The 27,320-nt window shown below is 43.3% G+C and overlaps 2 protein-coding genes across 20 annotated transcripts in view; one reads left to right on the top strand and one right to left on the bottom strand.

The window, feature by feature from the left end:
- The window catches only part of SYTL4 (synaptotagmin like 4), a 57,631-nt gene extending 53,179 nt beyond the window's left edge, over positions 1-4,452 (top strand). For 13 of the 19 annotated variants that reach the window (NM_001370161.1, NM_001129896.3, NM_001370164.1 and 10 more), the window contains 2 exons: positions 344-552; positions 2,767-4,452. In NM_001370161.1, the coding sequence (NP_001357090.1) occupies positions 344-552; positions 2,767-2,915 (358 nt within the window). In that variant the 3' untranslated portion in view covers positions 2,916-4,452. Of the gene's footprint in view, positions 1-343; positions 553-673; positions 828-2,766 lie in introns of all 19 variants that reach the window. The other 6 variants (XM_017029968.2, XM_017029967.3, XM_047442649.1 and 3 more) reach the window with 1 other exon arrangement.
- The window catches only part of SRPX2 (sushi repeat containing protein X-linked 2), a 31,590-nt gene continuing 7,424 nt past the window's right edge, over positions 3,155-27,320 (bottom strand). Inside the window, exons 4-11 of the mRNA NM_014467.3 lie at positions 16,576-16,767; positions 13,993-14,169; positions 13,574-13,700; positions 13,286-13,407; positions 12,010-12,189; positions 11,536-11,669; positions 9,574-9,695; positions 3,155-8,136 (exon numbers count right to left, since the gene is read on the bottom strand). Coding sequence (NP_055282.1) covers positions 7,956-8,136; positions 9,574-9,695; positions 11,536-11,669; positions 12,010-12,189; positions 13,286-13,407; positions 13,574-13,700; positions 13,993-14,169; positions 16,576-16,767 — 1,235 coding nt within the window. The 3' untranslated portion in view covers positions 3,155-7,955. The remainder of the gene's footprint in view (positions 8,137-9,573; positions 9,696-11,535; positions 11,670-12,009; positions 12,190-13,285; positions 13,408-13,573; positions 13,701-13,992; positions 14,170-16,575; positions 16,768-27,320) is intronic.

Raw genomic sequence — 27,320 nt, 5'->3', positions numbered from 1 at the left:
TTTGGCTAAGTTTATAGATATTACTATTGGTTTTATTTAAAGAGATAAATTGTCTAGTAGAAACAAAGCCAAATATTTAAAACCCATTTTCAGTGGAGCACAGAATAGCCTCACTAATACTATTATATTCATTTTCTCTCTAGGTTAAAGGAATTGAATCAGGTGAATGATCTAGTAGAGGTAGTGGGAACTCTGCTTCAGCAGATTCAAGGAGGGGCGTGTGTAGTAGGATCTGGATGTGGGTTCATCTTCTTGGGCTAGGCCTGTGGTAGGGGAAAGGGGAATTTAGAGAGATAACTGTCCGCTTTGAGTAGGCTGTTGATTACTCCCCGCCCTCTGCCAGATACCTCCTTCCCATGAGGAACAAGGCCAGTAAACGTAAAACTCCTGTGATGAAGAAGACCCTGAATCCTCACTACAACCATACATTTGTCTACAATGGTGTGAGGCTGGAAGATCTACAGCATATGTGCCTGGAACTGACTGTGTGGGACCGGGAGCCCCTGGCCAGCAATGACTTCCTGGGAGGGGTCAGGCTGGGTGTTGGCACTGGTGAGATCCCCTCCCCCATCCTCACTTGTTTGAAGGCTTCTTGTCTATTTTACTCCTATTACCATTCCCGCCCCCCAACACAAAGCTCCTCTGTGATGACAGTTGTCTTCTTTCCTTTCAGTTAACATTCAGCCAATACTTATTGAGTGCCTACTATGTGCCAGGACTAGGGGAAGGCTGAGCTCATGCACTGATATGTGCACAGATAAATGTGACCCTGATTGCCAGGAACTTCATAATCTTCCCACCAAAAAAATCTACAAACCTACCTATATGTATGTACCTATACATTCCATCTTCCATGCTGTTAATAATGAAAGAAGGGTCATTGCTAGCAAAAGCCAAGCTCTCTCCAAGTGCTCTGGGCCACCTCCCCCTACCCTTCTCGATGACCTCACTTCTATAATCGTCATCTCTCAGTTTCATCCTCCCTACCTACCAGGGGTGAATACAGATATGCTCTGGTATTTCCAATCTTATGAAACAAAAACAAACCTTTCCTTGACTACACGTTCCCCTTCTAGTTTCTTAGAAAGAATTGTCTCCACTTCTCACCTCTCCTTCAGCTCTCCTTCACTGTGATCTGGCTTTTGTCCCACCACTCTGCTGAGCAGTTGCTCTTGCCAAAGTGTTGTTCTCATCTCACTAGAATTTTCAGCACTATTTAACATGCTAGATCACTCCTTTTCGCTTGAAACGCTGAACTTCTATTGACACTGCATTCTGATTCCCTTTTAAGTCACTGCTCACCCCTTCTCAGTTTTCTTTGTAGGTGCTGCATTCTATACCCAAACTCTAAATGTTGGTGCTTGGCAGAGCTTAGTCTCGGATCCTCTTCTTTGCCCTCTCCCTAGTCTCTGCACTTGTCTATTAATATACTTATATATTAATAATCACACAGAATATTTAACATGAAGCATATAGACTGATGTTTTTACACATGTAAGCCAATTCATGTCAGTCCCCTGTTAAAACCCCTCAGTGGCTTTCTGTTGTGCTTAGAAAACAATCCAAAGTTCTTAACATGCCTACAGGCCCCTGTGTAACCTGGGTCCTCTGTTCCTTTCTGATCCGTCTTGTATCACTCTTCCCCTTGCTCACTATGCTTCAACCAAAATGACTTTCTGCTCTCCAAATATACCAAGCTCATTCCCACTTCAGAACCTTTGCAATTATTGTTTTCTCTGAATGGAAAGTCTGGTTCTTTCTTATCCTTCAGGTCTTGGCTCAAATGTCACCTTCTCAGAGAGTCCTCAGACCACTCCATCTGCACAGTAGTTCCTGAGTCAGTCACTATACATCACCCTGTTTATTTACATCATAATGTTAACCTCACTGTCTGAAATACTCTTATTGGTTTGCTTGTATATTTTCTGTCTTCCCTATTCAAATGAAAGTTGCCTGAGGACAGAGACTTTTTCTGCTTTGTTTACTAGTGTCTCTAGAGCCTAGAAGAGTACCTGGCACACAGTAGGCACTCAATAAATGTTTGCTGAATTAATGGATGAATATATAAGAGAATATGAATGGGGCCACATACGATCCTCACTTCTGACCTGGAGTCTGCAGCTAGAGGAGAGGTGTTTAGCTTTAAAAGAAAAAAGTTGGCCGGGCACGGTGGCTCACACCTGTAATCCCAGCACTTTGGGAGGCTGAGGCAGGCAGATCACGAGGTCAAGAGATCGAGACCATCCTAGCCAACATGGTGAAACCCCGTCTCTACTAAAAATACAAAAAAATTAGCTGGGCGTGGTGGCGCAGGCCTGTAGTCCCAGGTACTCTGGAGGCTGAGGCGGGAGAATCGCTTGAACCCAGGAAGCAGAAGTTGCAGTGAGCCAAGATTGTGCCACTGCACTCCAGCCTGGCGACAGAGCGAGGCTCCGTCTCAAATTAATAATAATAATAAAAGAAAAATGTTTAAGTACAGTTGGCAATAGCTCTGGCATGAGTTGTCAGGCACTAGAACTCTGTAACAGCCTCAGAATAAGAAGTCTCTAGTGACTGTGTGCCATTTGGAGTCTGATTTCATCAACCCAGAGTCTCTTGACAGAGTCTCAGGAATACAGGTGAGGGAGCACTTCCCAGACTGCTGTGGCCATTAGCCCATCTTCGTAGGAAACTGTTATGGGGTGGCTAATCTTGCTGTACAACCCATCTTCCCTGGTGGGCTGAGAGTGGGGCCCCTCTTTAGCCTCTTCTGGTGTTTCTCCTCAGGGATCAGTAATGGGGAAGTGGTGGACTGGATGGACTCGACTGGGGAAGAAGTGAGCCTGTGGCAGAAGATGCGACAGTACCCAGGGTCTTGGGCAGAAGGGACTCTGCAGCTCCGTTCCTCAATGGCCAAGCAGAAGCTGGGTTTATGAGTCCCTGTCCTCTTCTGCAGGTCCAGCCCTGGCGAGGGCAGGTCAGAGGAAGTGAAGAAATCAAGAGCAAAGATTTATAATTTAATGTGTATGTGTGTATGTGTGTATGTGTGTGTGTGTGTGTGTGTGTGTATGTGTACAAACATGTATTTTCTGCAAATCTCATTATGCTGGCTAGAGTGATGCAGACTTGTTCTTCTTTTTAAAGCAGTCTCAAGAATAAGCATTTCTTTAAAATGTTTCTGTGTATAATCTAGTTTATTTTCAGAGTCCATTTTTTCTTATGTCTTTATAAGGTTCACTTAACTTAAAAACAGCTTTTAAAACAACTTTTTATCTTCTGTCTTGCTATCATTGTTCCTACTTCCCTAGGAAGCCCTGGCTACCTTTCGCATTAGGACCAGTCTGGGTTTTAAGGCTCTGGGAAGCAGGGTTGGTTAGTAAAGACAGGAATGTTGGGGAGAGGTGAGTAGTTCCTTCCTCTTTCTCCTCTCCAATTTATGCTTTTAACTTATTTTCTACCTGGATAAACTTCTGGAACTTGGCTTTTAAATTTAACTTTTCTAGTTTTTAAGCAGTTTCCACCTTGCTTTGGTCTAATGCTTTTCTTTGAAATGCTAACAGAATTCCCAAGCTTTTTCCAGTTCTAGATATCTTTACTAGACCTTTGGGGGACTCTTATAATGGAGCTGCTTTTGAAAAGCACTTTAATTAGATAATGTATTTTGACTAAATCACGAGGATGCCCAGTGAGAGCTTCTAGCTGATCTCAGAGGACCAGAGTGACTGAGGGTAAAGTGTCTCACAGCCCATGCTGAATTTTCTGCATTTTAAACTGATACTGCAGTCATTGGAGAGAGAGCTCCTCATTTCTCGAATGAAAGATGAGATATATTCATCCTCATGTACCACATCTGTCTTAGTGTTTGCGTCTGGGGTGTGTTATCAAACAGAGCATGGTCTACATCCCACTGTGTCAACCAGAAGAGCCAAGTGTTATCTCAATTGGCCCAGTGTTTCTCCAGGCTGGGGACTGTTAAGGGCTCTAAGGGAATGTAGACAGAGTCTCCCTGTTATTCTGACTTCCTGCTTGATGAGCTTTCAGTTCCTGTTTTTGCTATTGTTTCCTAAATTTGACCTACATATTACATGGGTGTAGTGTGTTGAGGCTTTTCAAAGAAGGGTCTAGTGAGCTAAGTTTCATCTTCTGGTACTCATTGATCAAACTGACCTTTCTATTCTCATAAGCGTTTCTACCCAAAGTTGTGTGTGGAAGGAGTGTATAGCAGAGAGGAAATCCCTTTCAACAGAGTCAGCTGCTAACTGATTTCCTATAAGCACACTGGATTAAGGGCAGCCACAGTGGTTTCTACTGTATGTATGAACCGAATGGAGGAATGTTTTCAAAGATTGATTTGGTGTGGATTGCAATTGTAATGGAAGGCATAACTTGGGATCCCGGGCTGTAACTTGCTCTTTTGTTTCCCACCCCCCTGACATGTATGTGTGCTTTAATAAAGCTTTCTCACTTGTCAAACGTTTGTGTTTGTTAGTTCTATAAATGCTTTTGTCTCTGATGTCCTCACTGTTGCTTTTCCCCTGGCTTGAAGGATAAGAACCAAAGTGATAAATGCTCTTCCCTAACCATCCTATGCTGATTGAAGAAAATTCACCTTTCCCCGCATTGCTGCCTGATACCTTAAATGCCTGATACTTTCGCTGAGCTTGATCCCTCGTCCTTTGTATTTGGTATCTAAGGAGAACACTGAGAAATCATCTTTAAAGTGGCACCACTTTTCTATCTTGTAACAAAGGAACTCTTCCTTTAGCTTTGCAGACCCTCCTATACTGGAGGAAGGAGAGAGATGTTCATACAGGAGGTGAGGGGAGACATTCCCTGCTATAAGCACTTCTTTCTGGATCCTTCAATTTCTCTGGGAGGCGGGGACTTTTTCTTTTACTCCTCCTACCATTATGTAGTTTTGAGAGAGAAATAACACAGGTGCCAAGTAACCCAGCTCAGAAATAAGGCTCTTGATTTCTAGGTAGAACCCAAGCAATTCTTGACCTCTTGTGCAAAAGGGCATTAATATATATCAAATGCTTTTTATGTGCAAGGCTTCATATACTATTTCTTTAATTTCTCCAACCACTTTATGAAGTAGGAAATCTTCCCTTTTTACAGATGAGGAAACTCAAGCCTACTGTCACGTGACAGAGTTGGGCTTTGAATCAAAGTCTGACTCTACTGCACCATGTGGCCTCCTGTGAGAATGGTATGTGTGTTATGGGTGAAGGGTCAAAGGAAGACGTGACTCATCTCTTCTAAAATATCTTAAATAAGTTCAATTTACAAAAAGTAGGACAATCAGAATGCTTTGGATATTACCTAGCCAACTTAGTGACTGTACTGCTTGTGAGTGAGTGTGTGTGTATGTGAGAGAGAGAGAGACAGAGAAATAGGGGAGAGGAATAGGCAGGATAAGAGAGAATGGGGCAGTGGGGAGAAGTGGGGGAGAGGTGGGCAGAGAGAGAGGTACAATATATACAGGGGTCGGGCTAGCCCCTTTGGGTCTGGCTGTGGGTCATATTCTGCTGCTGTCTCTCCCCTACTTTAGGAGTTGGGATTTCTCAAATCCTCATCTTCAAAGGACTACAAAGGAGGTTACTGTAAAACTTTACCTAAAGAAAGCAAGACTGACTTGACTATTCAAAATGAAATGAAACAAAAGCTCCTCAGTTGCATATAAATGTTCCTTGAGTCAGGTCCAGGTGGAGCTCTGTTCAGGAGGTAGTAGGCCTCCGCTGTTTGGGCCTTTGACCTGCTAGTATGTCCTGGCTTGCCCCATTTGAAGTGTTAGTGATAAAGACAACGAAGGGCATTCATCTCGCCCAAGGTGCAGTCTTTGCCTTTGGAACCACAGAGCTAGTCTGACCAGAAATTTCCCACATGAACTCATTGTATCTGCCTCTGCCCATAACTTGCCTGCTGCCTCTCACAGTTCCCATATTTCCCTGGAGGGAAGAGGGAGAAGGGACCTTTTTGCTCCAACTTTGAACATTTCCTCCATGTTCCATTCTACCCAGCAACTCCCTAATTTTTTATATTGCATTTTAAAAATGAGATTTCCACTAAAATCCCAGTGGAAGGAGATTCTCTCTGACTCACTGCTCCCCCAATTTGTTCTGGGCTCATGATTTATGTCCCATCACTCCGCTTTCAAGACTGAATTTTCTCAGGTTGAGACCCTTTCATTTCCATTTCCCTCTTTCCTCCTGAGCCCACTCTGAGCCTTGTGTCTGGGTAGGATTATAGAACATGGAAAGTTTCTCCTTGCTTACAGCTTTCAGTTGTCTTTAAATGGAAAGTAGGAAAAGAAGTAGCGTCAGGATGGCATAATGTCTAAGAAGAACATTGCCTCTAGAGCCAGGCTGCTGGTGTTGAAATCCTGACTCTGCCACTTACTAGCTGTCTGATCTTAGGCAAATTACCTAATCTCACTCAGCTTCAATTTCCTCATCTGTAAAATGGGGTTAATAACAGTACCTACCTCATAGGGTTCTTGTGAAGGCTTCGGAGTCAATCAGTAGAGTGTTTAGAACAGCACCTGGCACATAGTGCTTGAGCATTATGAGCTCTGCCTCCCCACCCAGCCTGCTTCCTTCTCCCCTCAAGTCATCCACTGATGACCCCCTGAGTAAAGCTGAAGGAGAGAGGCTGCTGAGTCTTAGCTATGACTCTGGGTTCCATGACTGTATGAAAGAAGGCTCTCAGCAGCAAGGGAGAGAACACTTGTCTTTCAGACACTGGCACACCATTGAGAGGGACTGCAGTCAGAGCAGGGATCTGTGTGTGGCTCCACCTCGAATTTTAGGCCTGGTAAGGCTTGATTTTGTGCTGCTATAGCTCCCACCTGCTCTGTGCTCATCTCTCAAAAGGGGACAAGTATCTGAAGAAGTTAATACATGAGGCTGAGTCTGTTTTTCTTTTCTTTCCCTACGACCTGCAGTGGTGGTTTTGAAGTTTCCTAAGTAACAAGCTGGGGACTCCTCTGAGGAAGGGAGAGAATCGTTTGCCTTCTGCTACAGAAACGGGAGGCCTCAGGAAGAAGGGGTTCTTGCCCGTGAGCCAGCTGGAGGGCCCCAGAGAACATTCTGCTCTGATTGGATACATCTTACCAAGCTCTCTCCCACTGCAGGGTTTTTCTAACAGTGAAGCAATGGTTCAGATAACATTTGCTGCCCAGTGCCCTAGAAGGGGAAATGACAAACAAGTTCAAGAATGTTTTGGGCTGGGCGTGGTGGCTCACGCCTGTAATCCCAGCACTTTGGGAGGCCGAGGCGGGTGGATCGCGAGGTCAGGAGATAGAGACCATCCTGGCTAACATGGTCAAAACCCGTCTCTACTAAAAATACAAAACGTTAGCCGGGTGTGGTGGTGGGCGCCTGTAGTCCCAGCTTCTCGGGAGGCTGAGGCAGGAGAATGGCATGAACCCAGGAGACGGAGCTTGCGGTGAGCCAAGATCGCGCCACTGCACTCCAGCCTGGGCGCAAGGCAAGACTCCGTCTCAAAAAAAAAAAAAAAAGGATGTTTTGTACCCTGCTACCCACCCCTCATCCTGTAAGGAAAATCCAGCTACACTTGCTTAAAGTGTAAGCTGGTTTCTGTTGTGCTCGTGCTGCCCTCTGCTGTCACCTCAGGGTAGAGGAACCAGTTAAAACAGCCAGTTCATCACTGAATTTAGGATTTACTTTTCTGAAAGACTTTGGAGAGCTGGGCAGGGGCCCGGGTTAGGAAAGGAAGAACTTCTACCCCCAACCCACTGCCCAAGGCCTGTCCTCAGTCCCTACCTAGCTTCTAGGGAAACTATTACACAGTCCTAAAAGGATGCCTGGAAACACCGCAGGATTTGTCAAACTCACCCACCTCAGAGTCCTGTCCCTAGAACTGTGGGAAAACATTTCCTCCTTTTATTAGGTCCCAGTTTCAGCTAACTAGAGGAGCTTTTCCCTTGACTTTAACCATGCCCTGGCTCAAGTTCACTCGCATATGTCCCTTTGCTCCCGACGCTGGGTCAACTCCTGATTGCTCAGTAGGTAGTCATCAATGAATGTGAAGATTTCCTCGGGGGTGACAGGTTCCATGTAGCGGTCTCGGTCAATACCCTGCTTGTCAATCAACACCATGTTGAAGTAGGAGCGAGTGAGGCGCTGAAATTGCCTAGAGAGAACAGCCCAGGGAGGTATGAGACCTTGTCTGGGCACCCATCCCCACAGGCTCTACTACCCTCTGACTTTTTGCAGCTCCACTCATGGACTAATTCCTTCCCCACCTCATCCCTGGTCCCCATTCCCTCTACTTCCTGTCTCAAGTCGCTTTGTTTTTCTGTGTTCAGATTCTACTCTTGCTGCCTCTATGCATCTAGTTCTGCTAAGCTGTCCCTTCCTCACCTCAGCTGCAACAACTTTGTTATTAACAGGCGGTGCTTTCATTGTAGGCCCCTTTAAGCAGGGCTATCACATATTGCTGTGCAGGCTGCACAGGGTGACTCCAGGGGCCACCCGCTGCAGAGACTGTGCTGTGTATGCACATCATACATGGCAGCCCTTAGGTTGATAAATACCTTCTGGTTAACTCTTCCATCTGTAGCTGCAAGTCTGCAGTCTCCCTCTGAGGGTTTTCTAGTCTCTTCTCTAACTAGGACTGAATCTTTCTGTCCCCACTGAGACTGTGCCCTAGAGGCAGGTATAGTTTCTCTATCATTTAGAGGCACTGCTCTAAAACAGAGCAGTGATGGCTTTATTGGCCCTGAATATATGTGAAGGCATTAGAAGGGTGATACTGGATAGATAATGAGAAAGACCCACTTCTTCCATCACCTGTCACCTCTAATGTTCTCTTCCCCAGGATTTGATAGATCTTACTCAGATTTCAGTGCTTAAAGATGCCTTTTGCGGCCAGGCATGGTGGCTCATGCCTGTAATCCCAGCAGGTTGGGAGGCGGAGGTGGGCAGATCACCTGAGGTCAGGAGTTTGAGACCAGCCTGGCCAATATGGCGAAACCTGTCTCTACTAAAAATACAAAAATTAGCTGGGTGTGGTGGTGCACACCTGTAATCCCAGCTACTCGGGAGGCTGAGGCAGGAGAATCACTTGAATCTGGGAGGTGGAGGTTTCAGTGAGCTGAAATCGTGCCATTGCACTCCAGCCTGGGCGACAAGAGCAAAACTGTGTCTCAAAAAAAAAAAAAAAAAAAAGATGGCTTTTGCTCCTTTGGAGACTGAAGGCAAAGAGATGAGGCCAGAAAACAAGAGCAGGGGCTTATCTGAGTCAAGTTTGGGTTTACTGTCTCAGCCCTGGCTGTGCTTCAGAGTCCCCTCAGGTGCCTTTGTAAAAGCACATTCCTAAGGTGGTTTAGGATGGGGCCTGGTCATCTGTATTTTAAGCCCTCATTTGATTCTGATGTTCTACCAAAGTAAAGAAACTACTCTCTGGTCTTACCTAATGCATCCATAAGAGTTCAAACGCAAGAAGTGCCGCAAGAGAGTAGTGTCTGATGGTTTCCCCATAGTCCGCTTTTGCCAGTGTCCTGCCTAGGGTTTCTCCCCCCGCCCCAGCCCCCCCTCCCCCCAAGTTTGGCAGCCTCCCAGCCTGGACCTGAGCTCCTCGATGATGTTGGCTGACAGCTGTTGCTCCCGGATGCGCCCCACCTCCTGAGGTGGCTGTCCCACCAGTTCAATGATGGTCACATGCCGCAAATCCAGTCCACAGGTGGATTGCTGGGAGGGAGACAGAACATTTTATGCAACAGAGCTGTGCGTTCAAACCTAAGGCTACTTGGCTGATTCCTCCTGGGACCATATGAAGCAGTGTGGGAAAGGAGCTCCTTCTCCCCCAATGATCACGCAATCACACTGTGGGGTCTACAACAACCTGTTCCCTCTGTCATTCCTGAAGTACTTGCCCCAACAGTGTTTCCTTCATTCTACTGAAACCAGTTACACAAAGTGGGGTAGAGAAGAGAAATGCAATGAGTAAATTGCAGGAACATAATCATTTAGCTTTGCATAGGTTTTAAATTACATAAGTTCTTGATGGATAGCCAATGTGATATGATAATGGCTGTTGTTTATTGAATACACAAACCTAATGCTTTGTAGACATAATCTAATCTTCACAACACCCCTCACAAGCCAGGTGGTGACAATAACATGCTGAGCCAAGATTCAAACTGAGGACTGATGCCCCCTGCCCAAGCGTGTGCTCTTTACCAATAGGCTACCTGGCCAGGGCCTTCGCTCGGTCTCCAGGATTTCTCCAAAATTGTGCCCAGTGCTCTTTTCATTACCCCTTGTTACCTTCCTTGCACTGGGCAGTGCAGCTTGCAGTCCTACCCCAGATCTCTGTCCTGCCTTGTCTTGCAGGATCACCTGCTAGCCATTTACCAGGGTGAGGTTTAAAGAGGCCTTGAATACTCCCCGGCACCCCACCTCTGTTTCATCTTTGGGCTTCCCCTCTAGTCCTTACCCTCAGAGTCACTATGCTTGCTGACAGGTTCCTTTTCTTGTTCTTACTCCCTTGCTTCCAAAGGAACTGTTGCCTTTGTCAGTCTTTTTGGATCTCTAGATGAATAAGGCCCTCTTTTTGGTCTAGACCCTCCAGGGTCCTTTTTTTTTTTTTTTTCTTTTTTTTTTTTTTTGTAAAACTGCTTCCATCCTGGGCCTCTGAATATTCACTAGGCAACTTCTAAGATTCAATCTTTAGAAGCCTCCTAAGTAGCTTTTTCTCCCACGTGGGTATCCAGCCCCTTGTAGCTCCCCAGAGCTGCTTCTCTTAGTCTTGTCAGCACATCCTGAATTATCTTCAGTAACCTAGCCTGTTCTTTTATAAGTCCCCATAATCATATTTATTCTGTCCTATCGACCTCTCCCTACCAGTGGCTTTGGCTAGGTATCTCTTATGTTAAAAACTGCCATGCAACTCTCTCATTTTACTTTGAGATATCATAACGCTTTTCCTTCTTTTTTGCTACTGGTAGTGGCTAAGAGGACAGATTCTGCAGCCAGACTCCCTGTGTTCAATCCCAGCTCCACCACTTACTAGCTAGTGACCTTGGGCAAGTGACTTAATCTCTATGCATCAGTTTCCTCACCTATTCAATGGGGATAACGATAGTATCCACCTCCAAAGGGTTGTTGTGAGAATTGGATGAATATGTGTAAAACCCATAGATCAGTACTGGATAGCTACATAGCACTTACTGCATAAGTGTTTGTTAGCGCTGTTATTCCTTGAAAACATAAATGTACTTAATTCCCAACATTTACATTTGATCATAGCTGTCTTGCAAGTCTCTTCAGAGTGCTTTGCCACACTCCCTTCCCATCTTTCACCCAGCTCCCTGCAAGTCACAGCCACCACTCCAGTGACTTTATTGCCTTTTCAGTAAAAACAGTTTTTTAAATGTGCTAAATATGTCTATGGTAAAACTGATCAAATGCTATCCACAAAAAGTTTCAGGAAGTAGGTAAGGTTTGTGCTGCAGAGAACAACTCTGATTTGGAAAAGGTAAGGGATAATTTACAGGAGCTAAGCCCTCTTTAGGGGAGTGGGCCTTACCTGTAGCATAGAGATCTGCATTTTATAATATCGGTTGGAAGGATCAGGAGCTGAGATGATGAGGAGTCGCTGTTTCTCATAGAATTGATCCAAGAGACCAGCAGCTGAGTTGACGTTGACGTTAATCTTCATAGCTAGGGCAGAAGCAGGTGACCAGTCAGAGTACGGCTTTCTCCTCCATCCCAGCTTAGGTAACCTAACATCTTGAGGTGTTCCAGTCTTTCAGGTTACCTCTCTCTGGCTGTTTCTCCCATCCCTTGGGGGAAATCCTAAAAGAACACTTAGAGATTTTAAACCCTTCTTCTTGGGGTAGGAGTAGTCTACGGGGGAATGTTGGCCTTTAAATTAGACACATCCCAGAACCCCCCTTTCCCACATCATATACATTGTTATTGGACCCCTGTCCATGAGGAAGATCCTCCAAAGTTCCCCTGATCACCACATCCACTTGCCCCATTCCCCGGTTTCACTCACGAGCACAGATTGGTGGTGAACCTGACCACTGGCGGCTGGACTGACAGACCCGGGAGGGTGTCCCCTGGCGATCATAACCGCCATCACAGTGGTATTCACAGGTGGCACCATAGTTGTCCCCCGCTGAGGTGCAGGTGAGGTAGCCGTGCTGCGGAGGTTTCAGAGTTGGGCAGCGTCTCACTGTCAGGGAGGAGCTCAAGTTAGAAGTTATGGTGTTTCTTATAAGAAGGAAAGGCTAAGAGGGTGCCCATGCTGGGCTTTCTAGATCAGAAGACTTAGGATGATCAGAAAAATGGCTTTTCTGTATTTCCACTGGCTGGGGATAGAGCTGGAATTTTCCTTTCTTAAGGAATTAAATCTGAAATGCAGACAAAGGTTTGTAAAGTCTGGAAACACAGGTGAATATACATGTTGTTATCAAAAGACTGACAATCTTTAAAAGAAAATATTACCATCTGTTTCCAGACTTTATGGACATGCTGTGTAAAGATGACTACCTTGCAGAATTCCTCTTAATAACAGAAATAAGTTGGAGGAATCTTAAATGTTCATTGGTGGGAGAAGGGTTAAGCAAATTACGATATATTTTTAGAGTAGAATATTATGCTGTCATTAAAAATATTTCTGAAGAATTTTTAAATAACATGGGAAAATTACTTTGTTAATGAAAAGTGAAAAGGATGATTTATGGATGTACAGTACAATCTCAACTATATATTTTTTAAAGTATGTATAGAAAAAAGACTGGAAGGAAAATACCAAAAAGTTAATAGCAGTTGCCTCTGGATGATGGGGTAATAGATTTTCCCCCTTTATATATTTCTTTATTTATCAAATGTTCAACAATAAGCATGAATTATTTTTATAATGAGAAAAGCAAAACAAAACAATACAACACAAAGCAAAGAGGAAGAATCAGGCAGCCAACACCACCAGTTTTATCAGAGGTGAACGACAGAATGATGGCTGATTACATGTGATCATTTTGAAGTCTAAGAAAAGAAATGGATAAAGAATATCCTTGTGGATTTTATCTGGATTTAGGATAATGAGAGTCTTGTTGATGAGAGTCTTGTTGGAGAGTCAAGGTTTCAGAAACATATGTATGCACATGTAACGCTGGCTTCCTAAATAAGCCTGTTTGGTGAACTTGTTTTTCTCCTCTCCCAGTATAAATGAGGTGTGTCTCTTCCAGGCATAGAGAGGAGAGACATGGGGTGGGTCAGGGTAGAGCAGGATTAATGAACAATATGGAAACTAAATAATTCTTTCTGACCTTGTACTTTCACAATGAACTTGCAGCTGGCCCGGTTGTAGGCTCGGTCATAGGCAGTGTAACGAATCACATGCTCTCCTTCGGGAAAGTGAGAGCCAGGCTCAGGGCCCCGAAGTGTCACCCTGCATGGGACAGGGTGAAATAAACACTGAGGAAAGAGACCCTTAGAATTGAAGTCTGAGGCACATCCCCACTGTCACCTTAGCCTGTGCAGTTTCAATGTGACCAGCCTGAATGACTGAGAGAAGCCGAGGGAAGGCATAAGGGGCATCCATTATTCAGGCTCACCTGGTGATGGTACCATCAGCAGAATCTTTCACCAACGGTGGGTCCCAGTATACTCGAGCAGTCAATTTCTCTGGCTCTGCCATCTTCTCACGTGAGTGGGGACAGCGGATCTTGGGGGGATCTATGTCTGCCAAGATGAAAAATCAAGTGCTGACTCGTGGGCCCCTTGCTTTCCCTGGAGGGAATCCACTGAAGCAATGCCACACACCACTGGGTAGATAAAAAGTTCAAGGTGCTCAAGGAAACTGGGGAAGGAAGCGCAACTTCAGGGGAGAAGATCATTTTGTTTAGCAAATACCCAGGGTGCCACCCTCATAGCTAAGAGGAATGCCTTCTGTGGTGAGAATTCCACATCTTTTGTCGATATAATGCTGGGGTGGCTCTTTGCACCAGGACAACTGGGAGCAACCAGCATTTACCTACACATACAGGCTCGCCTCCACTCCATCTCCCATCTTCCATGCAGATTCGGCTGCGATCACCTTCCAGGTGGTAGCCACTGGAACAGCTGTAGTCACAGCGAGAGTCAAGAAGCACTCCATTTGTGCAGGTGTAAGTGCCACTAGTGATGAATGGTAGTGCGTGGCATCTCATCTCTAAGAGAAAACCAAGTGGCAAGCTCAGTGGCTTGTGCGACTATCTGGAGGTGATGCCTGGGCATCTAGCACAGGGAGAAACATCAGAAAGAGCAGAAAATACAGAAACCCTACCTGAACTGCCCTTACATTTTTGTGCCTAACTGCCTTTTTCCCTAATTGTCTTTGTATTTTCATAAAGTATAGCAGCACCCTTGGGCAGGGGGGTGTCAAAAAAGTAAATTACTTGTCCAAGCATATAGACTTCAAAATCAGACCTAACACTGTACATTGTCAAAATCCATAGAATATACAACAAGAGTGGGCCTTAATATAATCTATGGAATTCAGGTGACAATGATGTATTAATTTATGTTCGTCAACTGTAAAAAATGTACCACTCTGGTGGGGGATGTTGACAACAGGGGAGGCTGTACATGTGTGGGTGCTGGGGATAAATGGGAAATATCTGTATCTTTCATTCAATTTTGCTGTGAACTTAAAACTTCTCTAAACAAATAGAATCTATTTTAGAGGGGGAAGGAAAACAACTTATCAAGAGTAAAAAAAAAAAAAAAATCAGACCTGACTTTGCATCCCAGTTCTACCTCTTACTAGCTCTGTAACTTTAAGAAGTTGCCTCATCTCTTTGAGTCTCAGTGTTTTCTTCAGTGAAATGTGGATACCTCATAGGATTGTTGTATAAATTAAAAAAGACAATGCATATATCCTCTGGGCTCATTTAGGGCCTTAGCAACTGTTAATTTTTGTCTCTTATTCCTCAAATGCTAGATGCCCTTGAGCACGTTCAAAGCTTCTTTTCTCCTCCAGGCATACTCAATATAATTTTGGGGCTCCCATAGGTACTGCTCAGCTGAGGCTCACTTACATGCCAACTTGGGCTGACTCTCTGTCTGGGCAAGAATACAAGTCAGACCAGTGCCTGGAGGGCCAGGTGTGGTATTTGGTAAAAGAGGAATCCATGTGCCTTGGACACCACGTGTGGCAGAGGTGGAGCCTGTCACCATGGATTAATTGTGAGCCTATGCTTGCCAAAGTATTGTTGGAGATACCTGATACTTGAGAGAAGGAGGCCATATATTCCTTTAGGTTGTCTAACTTCTAGTCCTGCCTAAGTTCAATTGTTGGAGCTTTGAATAAAGATCTGTATAAGCTATGTTCATTTTGTTGCTTGGCAAACCAGACTTAAAGATTATTGCATTTTCTGTTTTCCAGTGTCCCTTTGTAAAGACCTATGCAAAAATGACCTTTTTGAAATCAGGGCAAAAGATTTGTCTCTTCAGATGAATGTGTTTGCTTAGTATCATATGACAGGAAAAATGATAGATCCAAAGCATTTGCCCTTTTGTCTCTTATGAGGAAAGTCAAAGCTAGATTCAGTGCTCAAATGTAGTAATTGACTCATTGTAGGCACCTGGAAATATGTATGTCACCATTATTTTAATTGGTTTTGTGTTCACTTGTACTTTACAGACCTATATTTTTCAATTGTGTCAGACCGATTCAAATTCCTGTTGAAAATGTTGGGGTCTAAGTCCTGAAACAATTTAATTCCAGTCACCGAGAGGGGTGTGGTGACTGCCTGCTTTCTGGCTATCAAGCTTCTTTTCTCGTCTACAGCGTCTTCTCTGACCAGCCCCATTTCTATATGAATGCTCAGCACTTCTGCATCCAGTTACACCACACTGATGTGCACACATTTGTGTTTCTATCCCATTCATCTATAAGCAGCCTGGGAGTACTTGAAGAATTGAGTAACACAGGAAGTGACCAATACAGGGCTGCGCATACATGGGTGTCCTACAAGTGGTGTTCTGCCATGGACATATGGACAGGAAAAGTTCAGCTGCTAAAAGGCTATGGAACTTGAGTAAGAGGTAGAGATTTGGAAGCTGAAGGGGGACGTGATTTGGAATGTGTGTATATCAGCACTTTCACATTCTAGACTTAGGGATTTTTCTTCTGACTTCCAGAAGAAAATTAAGAATAGCACATGTTTCACAGCTCCACTGCCAAGGTCTTCTAAGGCTACAGGCCAGGAATTACAGCAGTTGACCACAAGTGGAAAAGAGTCTAAGACCACACATCCTTAGGAGCTCCAGAAGAAGATCTAGGTCCACAACAGACCTCAGGCCCAAGCCTTAGCTCTGGCTGTGCACTCCTGGGCTCCCCGAGACAGAAGAGCTTGTTGCTAGTTAAATGCTCATATTGCCTGGGCAGTAACCCAGAGAAATGGAACTCGAATGTTAGAATGGGGAAAGGCCCTGCTGGGGGGCTTATGGAATATTCTCAATTTGTACTTGAGAGAAGGGCATATTAGTAACACCTCCGGGCATATACCCTCAGCAGCTGGCTGGCTGGCTTCTCTCGCATACATACATCAGCATATGCACACACACAACTTACGCCTGCAGTAGGCAGTTCCAGACCAACGACGGCTTGGCAGGCATTGCACCGACCTCCTTCCAATCAATCGAAAGCCCCGGTCACAGGAGAGCTCACAACGCGTGCCCAGGCTGCTGTGATAATTTCCTCCCTTCGGTGAGTAGCATGTGGCTTCTCCATCCTGGATATTTAATGTATAACACCATCGGGGGACTGTAGCAATAGAAGAAAGGCAAGCTAGAAGTATAGTAATCAAGACAGTGTGGTGTTGGTGAAAAGACAAATAGGTCAATGGAAAAAAATAGAGAGCCCAGAAGTAAACCCACACAGGTGTGTTGAAATGATTTTTGACAAAAGTGCAAAAACAATTAAGTGGAAGAAAGATAGCCTTCAAACAAACGGTGCTGGAGCACTTGTACTTCCATATGCAAAAAAAAAAAAAAAAAAAAAAAAAACCCCACCTCGACCTAAGTCTCACACCTTATACAAAAATTAACTCAAATGGGATCATGGACTTGAAAAAACAGGAGAAGGTCACTGGGATTTAGGGCTAAGCAAAGTGGTCTGAGGTATGACACCAACAGCAGAATTAATAAAAGAAAAATTAAAATTTGTTTTTTTGAGACGGAGTCTCACTCTCGCCCAGGCTGGAGTGCAGTGGCGTAATCTCAGCTCACTGCAAGCTCCGCCTCCCACGTTCACGCCATTCTCCTGCCTCAGCCTCCTGAGTAGCTGGGACTACAGGCGCCTGCCATCATGCCTGGCTAAGTTTTTGTATTTTAGTAGAGACGAGATTTCACTGTGTTAGCCAGGATGGTCTCGATCTCCTGACCTTGTGATCCTCCTGCCTCGGCCTTCCAAAGTGCTGCGATTACAGGCGTGAGCCACTGCGCCCGGCCAGAAGAATTAAATTTTAATAAATAAATTAATGAATTAACAAATTGGACCTTGTCAAAATTAAAAATTGCTCTGTGAAAAGACAAAGCCATAAAAGGGACTAGTATTTAAAATATAGAAAGAACTCTCAAAACATTGAAAAAGCAAACAATCCAGTTAGAACATGGACAAAAGATATAAGCACACATGGCACTGAATAGGCTACACCGATGGCAAATAAGCACATGAAAAGATGTTCAGCATCATTAATCATTTGGGAAATGCAAGTTAAAATCATAATGAGATACTACTTATATATCCATCAGGGAGGGTATCCTTAAAAAAAACTGGTAATACCAAGTGTTTGTGAAGATGGAGAGAAACTGGAATTCTCATATATGGCTGGTGGAAATGCAAAAATACAGCCACTTTGGAAAATATTTTGGCTATTTCTTATAAAGGTAACACCTACCTTCTTATAAAGAAAGGTACACTTACCATACGACTCTGCAATCCCACTTAAAGGTATTTATGCCAGTGAAATAAAAACCTGTGTCCACACAAAATCCTGTACACGAGAGTTAAAAGTAGCTTTATTCATAATTGCCAAAAGCTGGAAACAACTCAAATCTCAAATGTCTTTCTTTCTTCTCTTTTCTTTTTTTTTTTTTGAGACGGAGTCTCCCTCTGTCACCAGGCTGGAGTGCAGTGGTGCAATCTCGGCTCACGGCAACCTCCACCTCCTGGGTTCAAGCTTGATTCTCCTGCCTCAGCCTCCCGAGTAGCTGGGACTACAGGCGCCTGCCACCACGCCCAGCTAATTTTTGTATTTAATTTTTGTATTTTTAGTAGAGACGGGGTTTCACCTTGTTGGCTAGAATGGTCTCGATCTCTTGACTTCTTAATCTGCTCGCCTTGGCCTCCTAAAGTGCTGGGATCACAGGCATGAGCCACCGCGCCCAGCCTCAAATGTCTTTCTATGGGTGAATGGCTAAACTAACTGTGGTGTATTCATACAAAAGAATGAAGTGCTGATACATGCAACAACATCAATCAATCTCAAATTTATTTTGGGACGTGAAAGAAGCCACACTTGAAAAACTACATACTGTAGAGTTCCATTTATATAACAAAAATATAGGGACATAGGCAAAAATACAGTGACAGAGTACAGATCAGTGTTTGCCAGAGATTAGGGGTAGAGGTAGGGAATAACATCAAAGGGGAAGCACTGGGCAAGATTTTGAAGTGATGGAACTGTCTCATACTGTGGTGGGAGTTATGTGACCCTATGCAGTTGTCAAAACTCACAGAACTGTACACCAAAAAGAGTGAGTTTTTCTGTATGTATGTTTAAAATAAAAATTTAAAGGATAATACAAAAATGTAAACTAGAGAGAGGAAGGGAATGTGACATCAAAGAAGGAAGAAGGCTTCTTAGGAATTAAAGTCCAATCCCAGTTCAGTACTGAGCACAAAAGGTTATAAGGCTGTTAAATCATAAAGGCATCATAAAGATGCCTCACAGGCTATACAAAATAAATGACTCTTTAGTGGGTTCAGAGTTTAAAGGGGCACATATAAACAAGCAGAGGGCCGCCTGCCCAAGGATGCACACACACAGCATGGCACGGGTCTGTTGGCCTAGGGTTGGGAAGGCTAAAGCCCCATGTGAGTTGACTCAGTTCCCACATCCTAAGGGGGAAAAAAAAAAAGCTTTGAAAAAAAAAAAAAAGAAGTAGATGAGACACCAAAGGAACAAAGAAAGGCTAGAGCCTCTTTCTGAGTGCAACTGGAGAATGAAGACAGATGACAGTGAGAAATCTTTTCTTCAGTAAACACTACTCTTGGGGCTTCCAGCATTACTTTTGAGCCTGTGGCAGTGACACATGGCTGCCATCTGGAGACACCATCTCCAAATTACAGAAAGTCTTTTAAGCACTACAGTTGCAGAGCTGTTGATTATAAGGCCACAACACATATCACAAAGACCTTATTTGGCAGGCTGGGACCTCAACAATCACTCCCATTCTATATCGCTCCCATAGTCTGTCAAGGAAAATACACATCAGATTGGAATCGGTAGAATAAGTAAGAATGGTAAAGGGAAATATAAAGGTCGGTCTAAATGCTGAGACAGTAGGAGAGGCCCCAGCTATTGTAAATAAGTTCAAATTTTCCGACCCAGAAAAAATCCTGGCATAAAGACAAAAACGTTGAAAGGCTGGAGAAGAGCAAACACAATCTGTTTTCAAATAAGGAAGAAGTCTCTGGGAACTATAGCCTAGTGACACTGACAGCACTGATAGCATAGTGTTCTAGAATATTTAAACATAAGGCGTATGGCAGTTACCCAGAGAAATAGTGATCTCCAGGAACCCTCTGGAACAAGTAATTCCAGACTGACCTAATTTCCTGTTTGGGTAGGGTCACCAGACTGGTAGAGCAGGGGAAATGGTGGATACACTATGTGGAAGTAAGTGAGGCATGTGACAATGCTTTTCATGTCATTGATGTGGATGAGATGTAATACAGGAGAGGTGACAATATGGTTAAAAATTCATAAGTGGCTGAGCAACTGTACCCAAAGAATGCCCATGGGAAACTGAAACGAGGATGTGGTTAAAAGAAATCAAGAAGGCAATTCCATTTACAATAGCTACAAAGAAATCTAGAAATAAACTTAACCAAAGAAGTGAAAACCTTTACACTGAAAACTATAAAACATCGATGAAAGAAATTAAAGAGGACACAAAAATAGATATCCCGTGTTCATGGATCAGAAGAATTAATATTGTTAAAATGACCATATTGCTCAAAGCAATCTACAGATTCAATGCACTTTCTATCAAAATACCAACATCATTTTTCACAGAAATATAAAAAGCAATCCTAAAATTAATGTGGAACTAAAAAAGAGCCAGAATAGCCAAAGCAATCTCAAGCAAAAAGAACAAAGCTAGAGGCATCACATTACCTGACTTCAAAATATATTGTAAGGCTATAGTAACCAAAACAACACAGTATTGGTATAAAAATAGATATATAGATCAATGGAACAGAATAGCAAACCCAGAAATAAATTCACATATTTATAGCCAACTGATCTTTGACAAGGCCATCAAGAACATACACTGGGGAAAGGACACTCTCTTCAATAAATGGTGCTGAGAAAACTAGATAACCTTATACAGAATAATGAAATTGGACACCCATCTCTCATATCCAAAAATTTACTCAAGGTGGAGTAAAAACTTAAATGTAAGACCCAGAAGTATAAAATTACTAGAAGAAAACATAGGGAAAACTCCTCAGGATATTGGTCTAGGCAACAATTTTATGGTTAAGACCTCAAAAGCCAGGAAACAAAAACAACAATAGACCAGGAAGACTATATTAAACTAAAAAGCTCCTGCACAGCAAAACAACAACAAACAACTGAGTGAAGAGACAGCCTCTTGAATGGGAGAAAATATTTGCAAACTACTTATCCATCAGGGGACTAATAATGTCCAGTATATACAAGGAACTCGAACAACTCAACAGTAGAAAAACAAATAATTCCATTAAAATATTGGGCAAAGGGGCTGGGCGCAGTGGCTCACGCCTGTAATCCCAGCACTTTGGGAGGCCAAGGTGGGCGGATTACGAGGTCAGGAGACTCCGTCTCCAAAACAAAAACAAAAAACAAAAACAAAATATTGGGCAAAGGACATGAACAGATATTTCTCAAAAGAGGACACACAAATGGCCAACAGATATGTGAAAATATGCTCAACATCACTAATCATCAGGGAAATGCAAATCAAAACCACACAATGAGATATCATCTCACCCCAGTTAAAATGGCTATTATTAAAAAGGCCAGGCACAGTGGCTCATGCCTGTAATCCCAGGACTTTGGGAGGCCTCCGCAGGCGGATCATTTGAGGTCAGGAGTTTGAGACCAGCCTGGCGAACATGATGAAATCCCGTCTCTACTAAAAATCCAAAAATTAGCTGGGCATGGTGGTGGGCACCTGTAATCCCAGCAACTTGGGAAGCTGAGGCAGAAGGATTGCTTGAACCCAGGAGGTAGAGGTTGCAGTGAGCCGAGATCATGCCATTGCACTCCATCCTGGGGGACAGAGTGAGACTCTGTCTCAAAAAAAAAAAAAAAAAAAGACATAAATAACAGATGCCGGCCAGGATGCAGAGAAAAGGGAACCATACATTGTTGATGAGAATGTAAATTAATATAACCACTATGGAAAACAGTATGGAAATTTCTTAAAAAATGAAAACTAGCCAGGCGTGGTGGCTCACACCTGTAATCCCAGCACTTTGGAAGGTCAAGACAGGTGAATCACCTGAGGTCAGGAGTTCGAGACCAGCCTGGCCAACATGGTGAAACCCCGTCTCTACTAAAAATACAAAAATTAGCTGGGCGTGGTGGCGGGTGCCTGTAATCCCAGCTACTGGGGAGGCTGAGGCAGGAGAATCGCTTGAACCCAGGAGGCAGAGGTTGCAGTGAGCCGAGATGGCGCCACTGCACTCCAGCCTGTGCAACAAGAATGAGGCTCCATCTCGAAGGAAGGAAGGAAGGAAGAAAGGAAGGAGAAGGAAGGAGAAGGAAGGAAAGGAAGGAAGGAAGGGAGGGAGGGAACTAGCACTACCGTATGATTCAGCAGTCCCACTACTGGGTACCTATTTAAAGGAAAAGAAATCAAGATATCAAAGGGATCTGCATTCGTGTGTTTATCACAGCACTATTCACAATAGCAAAGATATGGAATCAACCTAAGTATCCATCAGTGGACTAATGGATAAATAAAATGTGGTACATATACATAATAGAATAGTATTTGGCCATAATAAAGAATGAAATCCTGTCATTTGCAGCAACATGGATGGAACTGGAAGACATTATGTTAAGCAAAATAAGCCAGGCACAAAAAGACAAATACTGCATGTTCTCATTTAATTGTGGGTGCTAAAAAGTTAATCTCATGGACATAGAGAATAGAATGATAGATACGAGAGACTGGGAGGGGTAAGTGGGTGGCAGAGGGGATGAAGAGAGTTTTGTTATGGATACAAATCTATAGTTAGAGGAAATAAATTCTAATGTTTGATAGCAGAATAGGGTGACTATACTTAGCAACAATGTTTTGTATATTTCAAAGTAAGTAGAAGAGAGGACTTGATACCAACACATAAAAATAATAAATACTGAAGGTGATGGATACCGCAAATACCCTGACTTGATTAGTCCACAGTCTATGCGTGTGACACTCAACATGTGCCCCATAAATATGTAAAGTATTATGTACCAATAAAAGAAAAAAGAATGTGGTTAAATACTGTATGGCTGGCTGGGCGTGGTGGCTCACCCCTGTAATCCCAGCACTTTGGGAGGCCGAGGCAGGCGGATCACCTGAGGTCAGGAGTTTGAGACCACCCTGTCCAACATGGTAAAACCGGGTCTACTAAAAATACAAAATTAGCCGGGTGCCGTAGTGTGCGCCTGTAATCCCAGCTACTTGGGAGGCGGAGGCAGGAGAATTGCTTGAACCTGGGAGGCAGAGGTTGAAGTGAGCCAAGATTGTGCCGTTGCACTCCAGCCTGGGCAACAAGAGCGAAACTTTGTCTTAAAAAAAAAAAAAAAAAAAAAAAAACTCCCCCACCCCACCTAAAAAAACCCCAAAAATACTGTATAGCAAAATTGTCTGGTAGGAAGTGTGTAAGTCTTTATTGTGTATCTCCTGTGTTCTAGGCACCATGCTACATGTTTTCCTTTTCACATATATCATCTTATACAGTTCTCCCAACAGCCCTGTAAGGTATGCAGGTGTTTATCCCTCTTTTGCAGATGAGGAAGTAAATTGCCCAGGATCCCTAAGCAAGTAAGGGGTAGAGCTGAAATTTGAACCCAGGCTTTGTCTGCTCCAAACTCCATGTCCTATGTAATTGCAGTGTCTGCCACTGCAGATATAAAATAGGCTACTATTTTGAAGTAAACACTGACCTTGTTGAATAGATAATATATCCGCATGACTCAAAACCTCAAAAGTATAAAAAGTTACAAAGTAAAATGTCTTCCCCCAACCCCTGCTCCCATGCCCACCCCGACTTAGTCCCCTCCCAAATAACTACTTTTAATAGTTTCTTTGTGCCTATAAAGCAAATGTTGGTATAGCTTCTTATTTTTCCTTCCTTTTTAATACATAGAGTAGCATATTATGCCCACTCTTCCCTCCATTGCTTGTTTGGTAAACTTAACAGTGTATTTAGAGATCTTTCCATATCACTACATAGCAAGTGTGCAATTTATTTAAATGAAATAACATTTATAAAATACATAGCACAGTGACTGGCACATAATAGGTGTTTGTCCAGAGTCCAAGAGCTGGAAGGGGGAGAAGCGGAGGTTTGAACTCAGGCCCATTGTCTCCGCTTTCTGTAGCTATTCATCTGTCTATCTCTTTTTAAGGTGTATGCAGAAAATAAAGTGCTGACGAGAGTTTTGAAAGGGCCTTCTCTGTTGTCTTCTATTATCTTCAGATAACCCAGGCAGTGTGACTAGCTTGCTCAGGGATGAGGCAAGCTGCAAGGAAAGCAGCAGCCCCAGCTGACTCCAAGCTAGGAGTTGGGATAAGGGAATGATAGAAAGTGCAAGATGAGTGAAAATGATAGCAAATGACATGCCAATTTGCTCTAAAATAATGATTTGGTTGTTCTTTTTTTTCTGGTCTTCTTTTTTAGAACAATGAGTTAATTTTTGATGAAAGAGATGAATTAAGCATGGCTTTAGAGTCAGACAGATCTGAGTTTAAATTCTCTGTGACTCTCTGAATCTAAAACTTCCCTGAGCTTAGTTTCCTGGTTGGTAAAATGGGGGATAATAAACCGTTCCATAGGGCTGTTGTGAGAACCAAATGAAATTTCATGTGTAAAATATTCAACCCTGTGAATGATTTTCCCTAAGTCAGTGTCTGGGTCTGAGCCAGTGTCCCATCTTTCCTAAAGCAGCAACATGCTGTGGTTCCCAGCATTCGTTTTGAGCATGTGACTGAGACACACTACTGCCATCTGGAGACACCATCTTCAAATTACGGGAAGTCATTTAGCACTACAGTTGCAGACCTATTGATTATAAGGTCACAAAGACTTTACCTGGGAGGCTGGGGCCTCAGGTTGTACTTTTCCTGGCCACTCCCTCCCCCTCATCATTGCTAACTTCACTCAATTCATTTTATGCCCTGAGACTAAGTCCTAAAAAGAGCTATGAGACACTACACCTCCAAACCAAAGGCCCTTATGCAGCTTGTATTTCTCTAAAGGGCTTTCTGCTCATTTAAGAAGAACCAGTGAAGAAGGTTAATGTTAATAATAGGGCTGCAGACTCCATGAAAGTACCTTCTGCATCTGTTGCTTTTTACTAGCCACCTCTCCAAACTATAGTCTCCCATAATCTGGCTTCTGCTCCCAGGATGCTAGTGGTCAGCATCTACTTTTTACCATGGCTCTGTGAGAGTAACACACATGATTCCTTAAATACAGTTAAATACACAAATACAGTTAAAAACAGTTAAATACAGGAATACAGTTAAAACAGTTAAATACAGTTAAAAACAGTTAAATACACAAATACAGTTAAATACAGTCAAATACAGAAATATAGCTAAATACAGTTAAATACAGAACTATTTTCTTGAGGGTAATAAAAAGTTAACCAAAGAGGCAGTGCATAATGAAGGCCAAATGAGTGTGTCTAGACAGTAAACATTTATTTCAGAAGAGGTACCTAATAAGTATTCAATAAATATTCGATGAAAGAATAAATGGGCGAGAGAAAGCTCAGTGTGGGCTAAAGCAGTTGGGAACACAGTACTGAACACAGCCTGACCAAAGCACAGATTTCATGTGGGGAGAACAGGTAGGAAGTTGTCAGTCTGGGAAGCTAGACCAAGGCCAGATTCTGATTTAAAATGGTCATTGTGGGCCAGTAGGTTTGGGGGAGGGGGAAACATGAGTCAGATAATCCAGTTAGAGGCAACTGTATTATCCATGTGTGAGGTCAAAGTTTTAATCCCATGGATTAATAAAGAAATGACAGGTCTTGGTGACTGACTGGCAGGAAGTGATGAGGAAAAGGGGGCTGTTAAAGGTGACAGGACCTATTAGAGGTGACATTGAGGTATTTTGAAGTCCGAGTAACTAAGAGAATGATGGTAGTGTTATCAGAAGTAGGAAGGTCAGTAGGTAGAACATTTTTCAGGAGAGAGGAAATACTTTTGTTTTAGATATCTCCAAATGGAAGTGTGTAGCAGCAGTTGGAGATGTAGTCCACCAGCTCAGGAGACAGGTCAGGGTTGACCCAAGTTCAGATCCCAGTCTCATTCTCTCTATTGTCACCACCAGAGAGTCCACCTCCTTTCCCAGTTTCAGCTCTGACCAGAATTGTGAAATGCCATGGAGACCAAGGAAGGGGGATTAAGAAGAAAGGAAGGTGCTCACTGCTGCTGGAGAGACTGAGAGACAAGCTCAAGAAAGGGTCATGGGAATTGGTTCTCTCATGGGAGAGAACTTTTTTCTTCAAGAGATGTCATTTCAGGTTGTAGATTTGTGAGTGGGCGAGAAACAGACTGTAGAGAGTTTAGGAGTTAGTGGGTGCTGAGGAGAGAGGCAGTGGGTATGCACCATTTGGCAGGGAGAAGAACGTGCGTAGAAGGTAGCTACAAAGATGCTCAGAGGAGCTCAAAGCTCTGAGAATTTCTCAGTTGAAACTATTTTTCTTAAAGGTCACCATTTACCTCCTTCTTGCCAGATAACATCTTTCCTTTACCCTCAATTTGATTTCTTTGCAATATTTGACACAATTTATCTCTTACCCCTTCCTTTCCTTAAAACTCTCTTCTCCTGTGGCTTCTGTAATATGACAGGTACTGCCCAGATATCTTCCTACATGACTGACCACTAATTCTCTTTTTTTCCCCTTGCTGGTTCCTCTTCTCCTACTCATGTCTACAGATGTCTTCTAAAGCTCTGACCCTGGCCTTCTGCTCCCTCAGACAACCCATCTATCTAAGCTGATGACTCACACAACTTCATCCTTCCGCCGCCTGTAGGGCATCTTTACCAAACCAGTTTTCTTTTTTGACATTGTCTTTCTGAGAGGGGTCTTATTTCTTCCAGGTGTACAGACTGAGTGCTTTCAGACATCAGTTTGTTTCTTAGCCTCTTGGTACATCAAGTCTGTACTAAGTCTTGTCATCTCTTTCTTTGAAACATTTATGGGGTTCATCTGTACCCTCCATTTCTTTGCCACCACCATCAGTCATCTCTAGCCAACATTACTGTAGCTGGTTCCTGGAGAGTCTCCCTGACTCAGACTTAACCACTGAACCCCTATTTCTGCATAGAATAATCAGGTTAATGTTCTAAAATGACAATTTACTGTGTCATGCCTCTGTGCAAAAACATGTGATGGGCTCCCTATAGATCCTAGTACAACAGCTAAACTCTTCCACATGGCTTGCAAAGCAAAGAAACAAAGAATCAGAAATAGAAGGGATATTAGATACCACCTGGCCTAACTTCCCTTTTAATGCAGGAATTACTCACTATGCAGCATTCATCACAGATAATTTTCATGCTTCTCATTAGTATTGTCCCTAGATCATGGAGTCTTTCCTAATTTGGTCTCACTCTTTATATTTAACTTTTTTTTTTTTTTTTTTTTGAGACAGAGCCTTGCTTTGTCACCCAGGCTGGAGAGCAGTGGTGCCATCTCAGCTCTCGGCTCACTGCAACCTCCACCTCCCAGGTTCAAGTGATTCTCCTGCTTCAGCCACCTGAGTAGCTGGGATTATAGGCACATGCCACCATGCCTGGCTAATTTTTTGTAG

The sequence above is a fragment of the Homo sapiens genome, chromosome X, assembly GCF_000001405.40.
Source record: "Homo sapiens chromosome X, GRCh38.p14 Primary Assembly".
Lineage (NCBI taxonomy): Eukaryota > Metazoa > Chordata > Mammalia > Primates > Hominidae > Homo > Homo sapiens.
Note: the sequence above shows the minus strand (reverse complement) of the source record. Positions and strands in the feature narration are given on the sequence as shown.